This window comes from Homo sapiens, chromosome 11 (genome assembly GCF_000001405.40).
Source record: "Homo sapiens chromosome 11, GRCh38.p14 Primary Assembly".
In the NCBI taxonomy this organism is placed as follows: Eukaryota; Metazoa; Chordata; class Mammalia; order Primates; family Hominidae; genus Homo; species Homo sapiens.
Genome location: NC_000011.10, coordinates 43,712,465 through 43,729,269, shown reverse-complemented (window position 1 = coordinate 43,729,269; position 16,805 = coordinate 43,712,465). Strand labels below are relative to the sequence as shown.

At 38.2% G+C, this 16,805-nt stretch overlaps 1 protein-coding gene and 1 pseudogene across 7 annotated transcripts in view; both read right to left on the bottom strand.

The window, feature by feature from the left end:
* The window catches only part of HSD17B12 (hydroxysteroid 17-beta dehydrogenase 12), a 299,895-nt gene that overhangs the window by 127,346 nt on the left and 155,744 nt on the right, over positions 1-16,805 (bottom strand). The window lies entirely within an intron of this gene.
* RPL23AP63 (ribosomal protein L23a pseudogene 63) lies at positions 9,887-10,614 on the bottom strand (annotated as a pseudogene).

Below are 16,805 nucleotides of genomic sequence, written 5' to 3'. Positions count from 1 at the left end.
ATTCTATTAGATGTACAATAGTCCTCATTTTACTTAAATTGTCATTGATCCCTAAGATGCAAGGACATCTGAAACAATTCTTTAAATGTCATAACTTTCTATGCCATTTGCTGGCCCTTACTAAGTTGCTACTCTATTGCCTTTCCCTTTTAGTTTTTCAGAATGAACAAGACCTTTAAGATGCTGGTATGTGGCAGCACTGTTTACAATACCAACATTGAAACCATAAGGGGCCACTAAATACATTATAATATGTAATTATAGAGCATGTATAGCACACATAATAGCATATAGATATAGTATATAATTATGGTGCATACTAATCTTTTATACCCTTATTTATATCTATATTATATGTAGCATATCTATATTACACATTATAGCATATCAGTACAATAGAACACAATACAGTTATCAAAAATTATGGCACCAAAGAATGGTGACTGGCAGTGAAAACCTGTCTATGATACACAGCCAAGTGAAGAAAAAATGGATTATTTTTTAATTAACAAAAATTAACTATTTTTGTTTTAACAATGTTTATTTCTCCAGAAGATCTTTAATTGAAATTTCTAAGGATCATCACCTAATGATGAGTCAAAAGAAGTTTACCAATAATCTAGCTCATAAATAATCCGATTCCCAGATACAGTGGGAGGAGTAACAAGTACAGTAGCCATTTTTTGTTTTGGGAAAAAAATCTAAAGAATCTAAAAGAGCCACAGACCAAAAAGTTGATGGTAGTTACCTCTAGGTAGAGGAATATAAATAATTTTTCTTTTCTTTTTTTTTTACTTAGCTGGATTTTCTAATTTTTCTATAAGTAAATATATTTCTTGTGTAATGTTTTTATAGTTTAAAATTCAAATAAAATTATATTCTGTATATTAGTTAAACAGAATTGGGCCAGGTGCAATGGCTTATGCCTATAATCCCAGCACTTTGGGAGGCCAAGGTGGGCAGATCACCTGAGGTCAGGAGTTCATGACCAGCCCGGCCAACATGGTGAAACCCCATCTCTACTAAAAATACAAAAATTAGCTGGGCGTGGTTGCAGGCACCTGTAATCCCAGCTACTTGGGAGGGTGAGGCAGGAGAATCACTTGAACCCAGGAAGCGGAGGTTGCAGTGAGTGGAGATTGTGCCACTGCACTCCAGCCTGAGTGACAGAGCAAGATTCGGTCTCAAAAAACAAAAAAACAAAAAACAAACAAAAAAAAAACAGAATCACACTATGCAAGCCCCCATGTGGTTACTGCCACAATTGAGATGTCTGCTTAATTCAGTTTGTATTTAAAGCCTCAGACAGAAAAACACATAAACTCAAGTTTTCCAGAAATGAAACAAACAAAAAAGCACCAAACCTACTCTACCATCTCTGGAGAAAGGGGAGTCCACTGCCCACTATACATTACTGCCATAGTTCATCTCTCCCAACCTGAGATCAAGAAGCACACTGGCAAAGTGGAGGAAAAAAGGTGTGATTAAAAACAAAAATGGATTAAAGGGTAGAAAGAGGGTGAATTGTTGTGTTTTTTTCCTACTGTTTTACCATAACACCAAATACTTGGAGAAGGAGTTGTAAAACTCAGCATTAAGAGATGGTGGTTTGTACTATGATGGGAATTTATATCAACAAAATGCCTTATAAGCCAGGTAGGGTGGTGTGTGCCTGTAATCCCAGCTACTCAGGAGGCTGAGGCAGGAAAATCAGTTGAGACCAGGAATTCAAGACCAGCCTGGGCAATATAGCAAGACTCCCTATCGAAAAAAAAAAAAGCCTTATATTCATGAGTTATTTCTCTAGCATGATCAAGATTCAAACAGAATCAAAGTTCACACAAAGTTCCCTCTAAACTGGGACTCCCCTGAAACCTTCTAAACTCAAGATTTTATTTAAATAGAACACAGCCACCTTCGGTTAGTTAGCTGATCCCAATAACGTAAGAGTAGCTTGGGAAACACCTACTGAAAATCACAAGGACTGCTGTAATATTTTACATTGAACATTTTCTGATGGAATCTACCATTTCTTCCGACAAGGGCTACTCAGTCTAACAGCACCAGCAAGACCACATTCAGCTTCAGGGGGCCTCTTGGCCTGTGATGCCTCAGTTCTTTCTACCATATGCTATCTGAGTATACAGTTGTCTTGTTCACTGAAAATGAGCATGGCATTGTACCATGACTGAATCCTTAATATAAAGTATATTTAAGTAAGTTCACCCTTTATGTAATAACTGTGGTCTCACATTTATACTACATAAATAAAATCTATTCTTTGAATTATTATGTAAAGCAAACTTTCCCAATTAATGGAAGCCTTAAAAATTTTTTTAGAATGCAAGTACTCTCCATGGCCCCCCACCTCCCAACTTTAACTATTTTTATACATTTATATTTTCTTACATCAGGTTTTAACAGTGGACCATACTTGTATTTTGACAAGGCTGGCAGCTTCTAATTAGACATAGAATGTGTACATGAATACAGACAGAAATTTTAACAGGCAGCACATATCATAATATTTGTTCTATAAGAACTATTTAGACACAACCTAAATATGCTTGAGAATTTGGTCCATTTGAAAGCTCATGTTGAAATTGGAAAATTCTTCTTTCATTTAAGAGATAACCAAGTGAAGAAACAAACAACAAAAGACACTCTCCCTATGAGAAAAGGATTCTAATGGTCCCTGCTGGGTAAGGTATATGTGTGATGCTTAGCATTGGAAAGCCTGTCTCTGAAATATGATAAAGCTCTGGACCTAATCTCATCTAATGGTAAATTTCTGCCAGAGTTGTGGAAATTGTGGGTAACTGTTTAGATGAGCCATCTCAAGCCCTACTAACGCCCTCAATTTCTCCTTTCTTCCTTTGCTCGGGCTTTAGGGGTTAAACCTACTTATATTCCCTGAACATTTCCTCACCCACTCTATCCCCTGGATTATGGAATGAGAGGCTATCTCTCCAGTTATCTCTTTTCTTATCGCCCTTAGAGACACTAAGGGCAAATAAACCTGGGCCAAGTTACCAAACTACCTAACTTTACTTATCTGTAAAATGGGAATACTATTAGTACTTAACACAGAGATTAGGATATGAATACCAAATCCTTAGACTAGTGTGATACCTAATTAGCATTACGTAAGTGTCAGCCATATGCTTTTATTATCATTAGTATTAAGTAGAACGTTTGATTTGTAAGCACTACATATTACTATCACTATTATTATTTGATTGTTAACTGTTACATAAAGTGAAAATAACAACATGAAATCTTTTACTTTAGAAATCTGAGAAAAATCTTGCGTTCATGGCTCCTGATTACTTGATGATTAACAAAGCACTGTTGCCAAAACTTCCATTTTGAGATGGCTCAAAATGGCTCCTCCATTTTTCTCATATCTGTTCCTCTGTTGTGTCTTTCTCTCACCTAGCCTCATTTATTCAAACTCTGTTGTTCCCTTATGGCCTAACATAAATGGGCCCTCCTTCACAAAGCTTTCTATGAAGCCCACCTTCTAACATAGTAATAACTTACCATTTTTATATTACATTGTTTTGTTTATTTTTGTCTCTCTCCCCAATTAGAATGTAAGCTTCATGAGGACAGGAATAACTGCATTTTGTTAATGGATGAATCCTTGTGCCTAGAATAGTAGCTGGCATATAGATTATTGATAAAAATTGTTGAATAATTAATATTCAATCTGGCCTATGTCAGACTTGTTAGATTAATAAATCCTTATCTGTTTAAGCCACCATAGTTGTGTATTCTGTTACTTACAGCTGAAGACATTCCTGATGTTAAAGCATTACAGAATATGCATAGAATATTTGTTGTTATCCCCATCATTGTTATTACTGTTATTATGAATTAACCAGCATTTATTATGTGCTTACTATGTGCTAGGCATGATGTTCAGTATTTTTAGCACATTGCTAAACAAGCATCATCTTTTTTAACCTTTGCAATAATTTCTGAAGTACATACCAATTTTAGAGATGAAGAAACTGAGGCTCAGAAAAGCTGAACAGTTTGCTCAAGGTAACAAAACTAGGAAATGACTGGCACAAACTATAAATGCAAATTTCTGGCTCCAGTGCCTATACTCTTACCTAGTATGCTGTACTGCCATGTCTGTGAAATATACATAGAAGTATTTTCCTCTTAAAATAACTATAAGCTCCACAAGTCAGAAATCCTGTTCTCCAAGCCATGGTAGCCACTAAAGCAATTAATATATTGGGCCCTCAAGTAGCTACTCAGTAAATATTTGTTACAGAGATAAGTGAATACCAATCCTGCTCTGGGAATCTGAGTTTTTATAAAAATGAGACATGAATATACACTGTTAAAAAATTACTATATTCTCAAGTATGTGCCCCTAGTTTCTCTTGATTGCAGGAATTTTTCCTTCTGTTTTGGTGATATTTGTCACTCAGGCATCTGGAATCAAAACATCATCTCTGTTACGGTCTGAATGTTTGTGTTCCCCCAAAATTCATAGTCGAAACCCTAACCCACAAGGTGATGGTACTAGCAGGGGGCATTTGTGGATGGTTGGATCACGAGGACAGAGCCCTCATGAATGGGATCAGTCCTCTTTTGGAGGTCTGAGAGAGCTCATTTGCCCCCTCTGCCATGAGAGGACACAGTGAGAAAGTACCATCTGTGAACCAGGAAACAGTCCCTCACCATATACCAAATCTTCCAGGACCTTGATCTTGGACTTCACAGTCTTCAAAACTGTGAGAAATAAATTTCTGTTGTTCGTAAGCCACTTGGTTTATGGTATTTTGTTTTAGCAGCCCAAACAGGTTAAAACAGTCTCCTAACAAATTAAATAATTGGTGCTCTATGTATTTAAAGATAATGATGGATTTATTTTCAATACATGGCTTTCTGCCACATATGGTAACCCCTAGGCCCTTAGGCAGCTATTTTTTTTATGCAAAATATTTTATGCCAGTCCCTTGTTGGGTAAGACAAGTAAATAAACGAAAACACACACACACACACACACACACACACACACACACACACAGAGCATACACATAAATATATAAAAACATATATGGAGAAGGCAGTCAAAAACTGACTGGACCCATGAAGAGAATCCCCAATGCATGCAATTCTCTTTTCCTTGCCTTCAGCTTAGTGATCTATAACAGCTTCTCATATCAGACAATAAGTAGAGATGTGTAAGCAGATGCAGATAGATGAATGAACTGGGTGATCTGAAAATCTGTTAGATCTTAGAATTGAAGCATCTAATACATGAATTGAAATTAAAAAAAAAAATTCTCCTCCTCCAAACAGTTGTATGAACAAATCAAAAGGAAAAGAAGAGTTGGAGGGAAAATGAGACAAAGAACAAAATCTGGTCTATGTGACACATTTATGAAACTGATGGCCTGTCAGCAAGACACTGATGAATATTTTTGCAGGATAAAAATGGCAACGCAGGTCTAAAAATAAACCACTGCGCTGCAGACCTGTCTGGTTCAGCTACACCACTGGAATATAAACATCCTCACTAGTACATTTTGACTCAAGGTTTCACAAAGAAGGAAAAACTGAACGTTTTGTTAGTAAGACAAGATATTTTACATGGTTATAAATCAGTTATGTTCTCTATATAATATACATTGAATTTAAGTGTAATGATTTTCATTTTCTAAAAAAGGTAAAATAAATGCTAATGGCAATATGCCACTAACTAACCTTTTACAAAAGACTATTTCCTCCCAACCCAATTATAATAAAATTAGAGTGGTATTATCATTATCTCATGATAATATGATAATATCCTAAAATAGGAATTTAAAAATAAAATTATAAATTATTTCTAAGCTGAATTGAATGACAGATCTAGTCAAAATGCTATCTCCAAATGGCTCTTGAAAAGGGGTGAAAACGCTATTATCTCATTTTGCATCCAAATTTACAATAAAAGCTACTATCTAAAATGCAAAAGTGAATTTACTATCCTTTACAAGTAGCACTTTAATTCATCAAATCCATTCACCTTATTCAATCTTGCCTTATGTTACGATTCTGGTCTTAGCTAAATAGTGATTTCAATTCTAAGAGTTGCAAACCTCTGGAAGGTTCTCCTAGAACATTCTGATTACTAACATGCCACCTTTTTTTAATAGTAAAAATGAATTAATTCTCCATACCAATAAAATGTGAATAATAAATTACACTTGATCCTTTATGACCACACTGAATTGGAATAAATAGAAAATTTTAAATGACCATTCTGCTTCCACCTGTGGCCACTAGTCTATTCACGGCACAGCAACCAGGGGCATCTTTGCAAAAAGTAAATGACATCACATCACTACCCCTGTTCAATTCCTTCAGTGACTTCCCATTACTCAAAATAGCACACCACCATGGCAGGCGAATTCTTAATTTTTTTTTTCTTGTTGCCCAGGCTGGAGTGCAATGGTGTGGTCTCGGCTCACTGCAACCTCTGCCTCCCGGGTTCAAGCAATTCTCCTGCCTCAGCCTCCCAAGTAGCTGGGATTACAGGCACCTGACACCATTCCCAGCTAGTACTTTTGTATTTTTAGTAGAGATGGGGTTTCACCATGTTGGCCAGGCTGGTCTCTAACTCCTGGCCTCAAGTGATCCACCCATCTCGGCCTCCCAAAGTGCTGGGATTACAGGTGTGAGCCACCACACCTGGCCAATTCTTAAATTTTTTGTAGAGACAAGAGCTCACTATGTTGGCCAGGCTGGTCTCGAATCCCTGGCCTAAAGCAATCCTTCCGCTTCAGCCTCCCAATGTGCTGGGATTACAGGTGTGAGTGACTAGTCTCCTTGCCTAATTCTTGACAGCAGATAGCTACACATTAAAATATAAATACATCCTCCAATATACATCTGTATACTTCCTCCATTGCAGCTGGTATGCCATCCAAGTAATGGCAAAGTCTTCTAATGAAGAGGAAAAGAAGAAAAAAACACATATAAAGAGCTGTAAGATAAAAACAATTTCACTTTAGGAGTTTTCATTTTCAAACTTATTTTTGCAGTAGGGTCACAAAGTTAATAATAGTCAAGAGAAAACTCTCAATTCCCACTTCGAGCTTGCTCCTCTGTCAGAACTCCCCATGGGACCACCCATTTATTCAGTTGCTCAAGCCAAAAGCCTCAAAGTTGGCTTTAATTCCTCCCATTCCCATATCCCATATTCAATAATCCATAAGACCTGTCTAATACATACCACGTATGACCACTTCTCACTCCTAAAAGTACCATGCCCTGGTTCAAGGCCCCATCATTTATACCTCCCCTAGATGACTGCAAGCCTCCTTTACAACATCCTACTTCCACCCTTTGCCACTAGTCTATTTACCACACAGCAGCTACAGACATCTTTGCAAAAAGTAAATGACATCACAACCTTAGCCCTGTTCAATTCCTTCAATGACTTCCCATTACTCAGAATAAGAGCTCAAGTTTTTTTATGTCCTACAGGATATTTCATGACCTCGTTCATGCCCCTCTTCTACTACCATTTTCTCCTCTTATACTCTCGGCTTTGCCTTTCCTCAAACACCCCAAGCCCAGGCCCACCCATGGGTCATTTCACTTGCTTTTTCCTCTGCCTGGAACATTCTTTTTCTTTTTTGAGATGGAGTCTCGCTCTGTCACCCAGGCTGGAGTGCAGTGGTGCGATCTTAGCTCACTGCAACCTCTGCCTCCCAGGTTCAAGCGATTCTCCTGGCTTAGCCTCCCGAGTAGCTGGGACTACAGGCACGTGCCACCATGCCCAGCCAATGTTTTTGTATTTTTAGTAGAGATGGGGTTTCACCATGTTAGCCAGGATGGTCTCGATCTCCTGACCTGGTGATCTGCCCACCTCAGCCTCCAAACGTGCTGAGATTACAGGCATCAGCCACGAGGCTCAGCCTGCCTGGAACACTCTTACCCCATGTTTGGCTCCTTCTCACACTAAGGCCACTCAACGTCATGTCTTCAGAGAGGGCTTCCTGACCACCCTATCTAAAATATCCCCACCCCAACTACCTATTTACTAGTTACTTTCTATCCCAGATTCTTGCTTTATTCCACTTCCATGTGCAATTACATTATTTATCTAGTATTATTGTCCATCTTCCCATACTTGAATGTAAGCTCTATGACTGTCTTGCTCATCACCATATTCCCTTAAAAAAAACTAACATATAAATTAGTAATCTGCAGCAGCAAAAACTGCAAAATCAAATACCTATAGGAGCCAAGAGGTCATGAAAGGGAGTAAATCAGGCAATTTCCAGCTAATATGGAAATGAAGGCCCAACACAAAAACAGCTTACTATTTTTCAAGAGAGACCTGATATATAACCTTCTAGATAAAATCTCCCAATTGTTTGATGATAAATTATGTTGGTTTTTTTTCATTAAAACTCTATCCAAGCCAAATATACCATATCTGTGAGCCAGATACATACACAGGCTACCACTTGTTAACTTCTCACCTATAGTAAATCTTCCAAGTTTAAACTTACTAGGTGCAATAGATTATTCTATAGATGACTATAAGTCATCCCATTCCACATGCTCTTTTGCAATGTGAATTTGCCATTCCTCCCATCAAGAGATGGAATCTATTTTCCCTTCCTTGGATATGCGACTTGCTTTGATTGACTTGCTTAAGGGAAGTGCCAAACAGCCTAAAATATGCAGCATTGGTTTTGGGACCTGATGGCAGGCAGAGGCTGAAAAAGTGGAAAGTCAGTTGTTAGCAAAGGCCAGAAGAACCATGAGAAAATTGCTATTAGATGCAGGAGAGAGAGTGCCTCATGTTACACAGTGGTGGAATGTTTGGCAAGACTGTTGTCTGCAATAATATTTACCTAATTTAACAATTACATAAGATAGAATATTTACCTAATTAACTTATTGACTGGCTAAAGATATTTCCAGGTAGAACACTGAAAGTAGTACCAACTGGCTTCTTTCAGCTGCATATGATAAAGTATGGAGAAGAGAGAAATAAACTAAAGAAGGACCTGTTTAATTTTTAAGCAGAATTTAGAGGAAGTAAAGAGGGCCCAAAACAGTCTCTACAACTGGCGAAAGATCTGAAATTTAAAAATGGTCTCTGGGGAGATATCAAATCAGAGGTTTGTCCATAAGATCTTTTGTTGAGACCTTGAAAATATAGACCCTTCTCATCTATACAAAGGGACTTCGAAGAATCTTAATGACCTTTTCTTCAATAGGCAGACCCAAAGTAAAGACAGTTCTGTCCTGGAAAGGGATTATAAATGTGGCTTTTGGGACATAGAATCAATCCCTAATAACATTCATAGAAAACTCTCAAAGTTTTAAAGAAAACTATCGTACTAAAAGTACCACCAGTTTGGACTAAAAGAGAAAGAAACAGTTCAAAATGGGAGAAATAAAATATCTGTGGGTTCCCAACTTCACATAGGTAAGAAGCAGGTTGAAAAGCTACTCAGCTACAAATATGACCTATTTCTTATGAAAAAGAAAAAAGAAGGAGAAAGCCAAGAGCCCAAAGGGTAGAGCTAATAGTCTTACAAAACAATGTACTAGGGAACAACTCTCAAAGAGCAGAACTGGGCACTATTCAAGGTATATATATATATATATTTTTTTTTTTTTGAAGTCCTTGTCCTTTATTGCACAAGGAGTGAGGGAAACAGACAGACCAGTTGGACCATAGTAGATGGGTGTATGAGGACAAAATGCTACCTGAAAGCCAGCCAACCCATACTCGCCTGAAATGGATGCTAATACCCTTCAAACTCTGGGCATTGGTTTCACACACAGCCTCTTCCAGGGATAAAAGGGGTTCTTCTAAAGCTTCTTGTTACCCTCAACCATGGAGGCAAGTTCTGAGTTCTGGTTTTCCTATGATGCTAACTCTAGTCACATAGATCTCTGGAGTGATCAAACATGGTGGAGTGGCAGGGTGAGTATTCCAAAAGCATAAGTAAAACAAGAGTCTTGACCAAGCCCTGTTACAATGTCAATGCCTGTATATGGCCTCCCAGCCCAACCAGAAATTGACAGAGGCATGTATATGGTGAAAAGATATACATATATTTAGAATTAGCCATCTGGACTAAGTTTAGATGATCCCAATTTTGTTGGCAACATCCAAAGCATTGTAATCAGGAGCCAGTTGAACATATGCTTTCTTCTCTCCATCAGGCTGAATCAGGGTGTTGACCTTGGCCACATCAATGTCATAGAGCTTCTTCACAGCCTTTTTGATCTGGTGCTTGTTGGCTTTAACATCCACAATGAACACAAGTGTGTTGTTGTCTTCTATCTTCTTCATGGCAGACTCAGTGGTCAATGGAAACTTGATGACAGCATAGTGGTCAAGCTTGTTTCTCCTGAGGGTGCTTTTCCGAGGATATTTGGGCTGCTTCCGGAGTCGTGGTGTCTTGGGCCACCAGAAGGCGGGTGACGTGCGGGTCTTCTTTTTTTTGTGGCTGTGAACACCTTTCAACACTGCCTTCTTGGCCTTTAAAGCCTTTGCTTTGGCTTCAGCTTTAGGAGGGGCAGGAGCTTCCTTCTTTGCTTTCAGCGCCATCTTGTGAAAAGGCTATTCAAGGTATATTTTTGATACATGGGGTAAGAGACTTAGTAACATGTGCCCAGATGAATTTCAAAATTGCTATGGAACAGTGCTTCCAATTCTTCCTCTTTTTAAATGAGAGCATCTACTACAGTTTTCTTGCCCCTGTCTCACCACTGTATGTTGGATGGGGGATGGGAGACAGAGGCAGGTAACTTATATTTTCATTCACAGATTTCTAGATCTAAAGAAGCTGTACTGGAGCAGCTGTGCCTAAGAAATCTCATATGCATCTGGACTTTAGTTGGATGAAAAGATACTGGACTCCAGGTTGATGCCATAATGGGATAAGACTTCTAAGAGAGGAGTAAGTATATTCTGCACGTGGAAGAAATGTGAATTGATATGTTCAGAGGGCAGACTGTAGCACACTATTTCCAAAGACAGCTGCAACAATACCTTCCATCTCATGCCACTTCGCTATAGGAACTTGACATTCTCCAATCAAAAAGTAGAATCTTTTCCCTTCCACTTAAATCTGAGCTGGTCCTGTGGCTTGCTTTGACCAACATAATTTGGTAGAACTGGCCAGGTGCAGTGGCTCATGCCTGTAATCCCAACACTTCGGGAGGCCAAGGCGGGTGGATTGCTTGAGGCCAGGAGTTTGAGACCAGCCTGAGCAACATGGCGAAATTCCATCTCTACTAAAAATATAAAAATGAGCTGGGTATGGTGGCACATGCCTGTAATCCCAGCTTCTTGGGAGGCTGAGGTATGAGAATTGCTTAAACCCAGGATGTGGAGGTTGCAATGAGCCAAGATGGTGCCACTGCACTCCAGCCTGGGCGACAGAGCCAGACTCTGTCTCAAAAAAAAAAAAAAAAAAGAAGAAGAAGAATGTGGCATAACTGACAGTGTATAACTTTCAGATCAAGGCCTTAAGATATCTTACAACTTCTGTTTTCACCTTGGAACAATCTCAGTACCATGTAAGGAAGCTCAACCTAGTCTAGTAAATAATGAGAGACCACATGGAAGAAAACTGAGGCTTCCTTGGTAACAACTAGTATCAAGGCCCCAGACATGGAGGTGAGGCCATCGTGAACCCTCTACCCCCAGCCAATACCATGTGGAATAGAAAAAAGTTGTCTCCAATAAGCCCTGCCCAAACTCCGGATCCACAAAATCATAAGCAATAATTTTTTTTAATCACTAAGTTTTAGGATAGTTTGTTATATAGCAATAGGTATCTCAGACACTGGAGAAAAGGCTAGTCTGAATAATGGAAATGAATGAATTCTTGAATTTTTAAAAAACACATTTCTAATATGGTTTAAGCATTCACAGTGACTTTTAGCATAATAGCCTAGGATTCATTCCTTTATATACCAAATATTTACTGAGCTTCTAATATATGTCAGGTACTGTTCTAGGCCCTGAGAAAACAGTGAATTAAAGTCCTCATGGAATTGATATTCCAGTAAGAGGAACAAAAACAGGCCTCTAAGGATCTGCTTTAATAAGTAAGATGATTTCTTATTAGCACATCAATATTGTAAGTTAGTGTTTGCCAAATAACTAAATCTAGTCTTAACTTTCTCCTTGAAATCGTTACTTGGATGCTTTATCACTGTACCAGGAGCTATTTTTAGCCCAGCTTTTCTTCAGACTGAGCTAGAAAAAAAGCAAGGTCAAAATGATATAAGACTGCTAGTAAATTTTGTGCATGTGAATATTCAGGTACCTTCTATTTACTAAATTTATTCTGATTTAGAACACTAGCACCTTCACACCTTTACTCCTGACATATCCTCTTCTGGGGCACCTTTCCCCTGCCTCCTTCACCTGGGAAACTCCTGACTCCCTCAGGTCTCACCACCATGCCAGATGTTTCTCCTTCTTCTTCCACTGCATCCTATGCACATATATATTTTATATATATATATATGTATAATATATATAATATATAATACAATATATAATCTCATCCTGTTGAGTACAGTATAATTTATTGTTTCTTTGTTTAATTGTCCCAACTAGATTGTTAATTCCTCCAGGAGAGGAACTATTCTTTCATTCCTAACATAGAAATCTACATGAATAGCAAGGTGATCAATAGTAAGTGATCAATAAGGGTTTGCGAAATGAATGAGAACCTTGATTAAATCATGGTTCTCTTGTCGGTAGAATGGGGTTAATATTCCAAGGAGAAGATGAAATCGCAACTGCCTGGCAAATTATAAAGTATTACTCAAGTATTTTATCATTATTTACCAGACGTAAGCACAAATTGCCTCTTTATAATACCCAAGTTTACCCTCAGAGTAGGAAGACTTGTTATACTTAAGGACATTCAGAAAAGCATACCAACTTTCAAACAAAATTCCTACAGAGTAGATATAAGTTCTGGTTTGTGGTTGCTTTTGTTTTGTTTTCATCAGTCCCTCCATTTTGCAGTCACCTGTTATATGCTACCTGCATTTTAACTCAAAAGCACAGAAGAAAACCTTCAGGGTTTGAGACACATCCAAAGGGCAAATGCAATTTAATCTACGGGTTTGTTAAAAAGTCAGAGGATTTTTTAAATTAAGTTAAGTTTCAGGTTTAACCTAAACTTAACTTAGTTTTCAGAACACAATTCCTCTTCTTTTCACATAAATGTGGCTATTTGAAAACAAGGTGCTTGCATGTTATAGTACCTCAGGCAGGATTATAAAAGTTCAAAGGACTAAACAGATACACATATGCACCATCAGAGTCATAATTCAATCCCAGATACACCTATCACCTAGCAGGAGGACTTAAAATCAGTGCAGTCCAACAGGGTAGCCACTAGATACACATTGCTATTAATTTAATTTTTAATTAAAATGAAACAAAATTAAAAATTCAGTTCGTCAGTCACACTGGCCACATTCCAAGCTCTCAATAGCTGGTGACTAGACAGATTCACAGCCAAATTCTACGAGAGGTACAAGGAGAAGCTGGTACCATTCCTTCTGAAACTATTCCAATCAATAGAAAAAGAGGAAATCCTCCCTAACTCATTTTATGAGGCCAGCATCATCCTGATACCAAAGCCTGGCAGAGACACAACAAAAAAAGAGAATTTTAGACCAATATCTCAGATGAACATTGATGCAAAAATCCTCAATAAAATACTGGCAAACCAAATCCAGCAGCACATCAAAAAGCTTATCTACCATGATCAAGTGGGCTTCATCCCTGGGATGCAAGGCTGGTTCGACATACCCAAATCAATAAACGTAATCCAGCATATAAACAGAACCAAAGACAAAAACCACATGATTATCTCAATAGATGCAGAAAAGGCATTTGACAAAATTCAACAGCCCTTCATGCTAAAAACTCTCAATAAATTAGGTATTGATGGGACGTATCTCAAAATAATAAGAGCTATTTATGACAAACCCACAGCCAATATCATACTGAATGGGCAAAAACTGGAAGCATTCCCTTTGAAAACTGGCACAAGACAGGGATGCCCTCTCTCACCACTCCTATTCAACATAGTGTTGGAAGTTCTGGCGAGGGCAATCAAGCAGGAGAAAGAAATAAAGAGTATTCAATTAGGAAAAGAGGAAGTCAAATTGTCCCTGTCTGCAGATGACATGATTGTGTATCTAGAAAACCCCATCGTCTCAGCCCAAAATCTCCTTAAGCTGATAAGCAAATTCAGCAAAGTCTCAGGATACAAAATCAATGTGCAAAAATCACAAGCATTCTTATACACCAATAACAGACAAATAGAGAGCCAAACCATGAGTGAACTCCCCTTCACAATTGCTTCAAAGAGAATAAAATACCTAGGAATCCAACTTACAAGGGATGTGAAGGACCTCTTCAAGGAGAACTACAAACCACTGCTCAACGAAATAAAAGAGGATACAAACAAATGGAAGAACGTTCCATGCTCATAGATAGGAAGAATCAATATCATGAAAATGGCCATTCTGCCCAAGGTAATGTATAGATTCAATGCCATCCCCATCAAGCTACCAATGACTTTCTTCACAGAATTGGAAACAACTACTTTAAAGTTCATATGGAACCAAAAAAGAGCCCGCATCACCAAGTCAATCCTAAGCCAAAAGAACAAAGCTGGAGGCATCATGCTACCTGACTTCAAACTATACTACAAGGCTACAGTAACCAAAACAGCATGATACTGGTACCAAAACAGAGATACAGACCAATGGAACAGAACAGAACCCTCAGAAATAATACCACACATCTACAACTATCTGATCTTTGACAAACCTGACAAAATCAAGAAATGGGGAAAGGATTTCCTATTTAATAAATGGTGCTGGGAAAACTGGCTAGCCATATGGAGAAAGCTGAAACTGGATCCCTTCCTTACATCTTATACAAAAATTAATTCAAGATGGATTAAAGACTTAAATGTTAGACCTAAAACTATAAAAACCCTAGAAGAAAACCTAGGCAATACCATTCAGGACATAGGCATGGGCAAGGACTTCATGTCTAAAACACAAAAAGCAATGGCAACAAAAGCCAAAATTGACAAATGGGATCTAATTAAACCAAAGAGCTTCTGCACAGCAAAAGAAACTACCATCAGAGTGAACAGGCAACCTACAGAATGGGAGAAAACTTTTGCAATCTGCTCATCTGACAAAGGGCTAATGTCCAGAATCTACAAAGAACTCTAACAAATATAAAAGAAAAAAGCAACCCCATCAACAAGTGGGTGAAGGATATGAACAGACACTTCTCAAAAGAAGACATTTATGCAGCCAACAGGCACATGAAAAAATGCTCATCATCACAAGCCATCAGAGAAATGCAAATCAAAACCACAATGAGATACCATCTCATACCAGTTAGAATGGCAATCATTAAAAAGTCAGGAAACAACAGGTGCTGGAGAGGATGTGGAGAAATAGGAACACTTTTACACTGTTGGTGGGACGGTAAACTAGTTCAACCATTGTGGAAGACAGTGTGGCGATTCCTCAGGGATCTAGAACTAGAAATACCATTTGACCCAGCTATCCCATAACTGGATATACCCAAAGGATTACAAATCATGCTGCTATAAAGACACATGCACACGTATGTTTACTGCAGCACTATTCACAATAGCAAAGACTTGGAACCAAGCCAAATGTCCAACAATGATAGACTGGATTAAGAAAATGTGGCACATATACACCATGGAATACTATGCAGCCATAAAAAAGGATGAGTTCATGTCCTTTGTAGGGACATGGATGAAGCTGGAAACCATCATTCTCAGCAAACTATCGCAAAGACAAAAAACCAAACACCACATGTTCTCACTCATAGGTGGGAATTGAACAATGAGAACACTTGGACACAGGAAGGGGAACATCACACACTGGGGCCTGTTGTAGGGTGGGGGGAGGGGGAGGGATAGCATTAGGAGATATACCTAATGTAAATAACGAGTTCATGGGTGTAGCACACCAACGTGGCACATGTATACATATGCAACAAACCTGCACGTTGTGCACATGTACCCTAGAACTTAAAGTATAACAAAAAAATTTAAAAAAGCTGGTGACTACCAAATTGTACAGTGTAGATACAGAATATTTCCATTATCATAAAAAGTTCTGTTGGATAACAGTGCCTTCAATGAGTAAAACATAGGTTTCACATCAAATTACTGAATTTTTCTAATATGATTCTCTGCCTGCAGTAATGAAAACAGTGTGATATTTCTGAAGAAATGTTAAACAAACGGGTAGTATGGAAACACATCACTTTTTCATAGGCTGACATCATGTAAAAGTTTACATTAACATTCATTCTCTGCAATGACTAATACTCCAATGAAGGATAACTCATTTTGTTTAGCAAAGTTTTCTCACTATAACACAGACCTTTTGTAAACGTTGTGAACTCAAAATCTGAGAGAGGTCTCAGTCAGTTTAGAAAGTTAATTTTGCCAACGTTAAGGACGCACCCATGACACAGCCTCAGAAGCTGTACCCCAAGATAGTTGGGGTACAGCTTGCTTTTATACATCTTAGGGAAGATATATACACCAATCAATACACGTAAGATTTACATTGGTTAGATCTGGAAGGGCAGGAAAACTCAGTGCAGGGGAGGGGCTTCTAGGTCATAGGTAGATTTAAACATATTCTGATTGGCAATTGGTTGAAAGAGTTATTATCAGTAGAAAAAAAAATCTCTGGGTTAAGATAAGGGG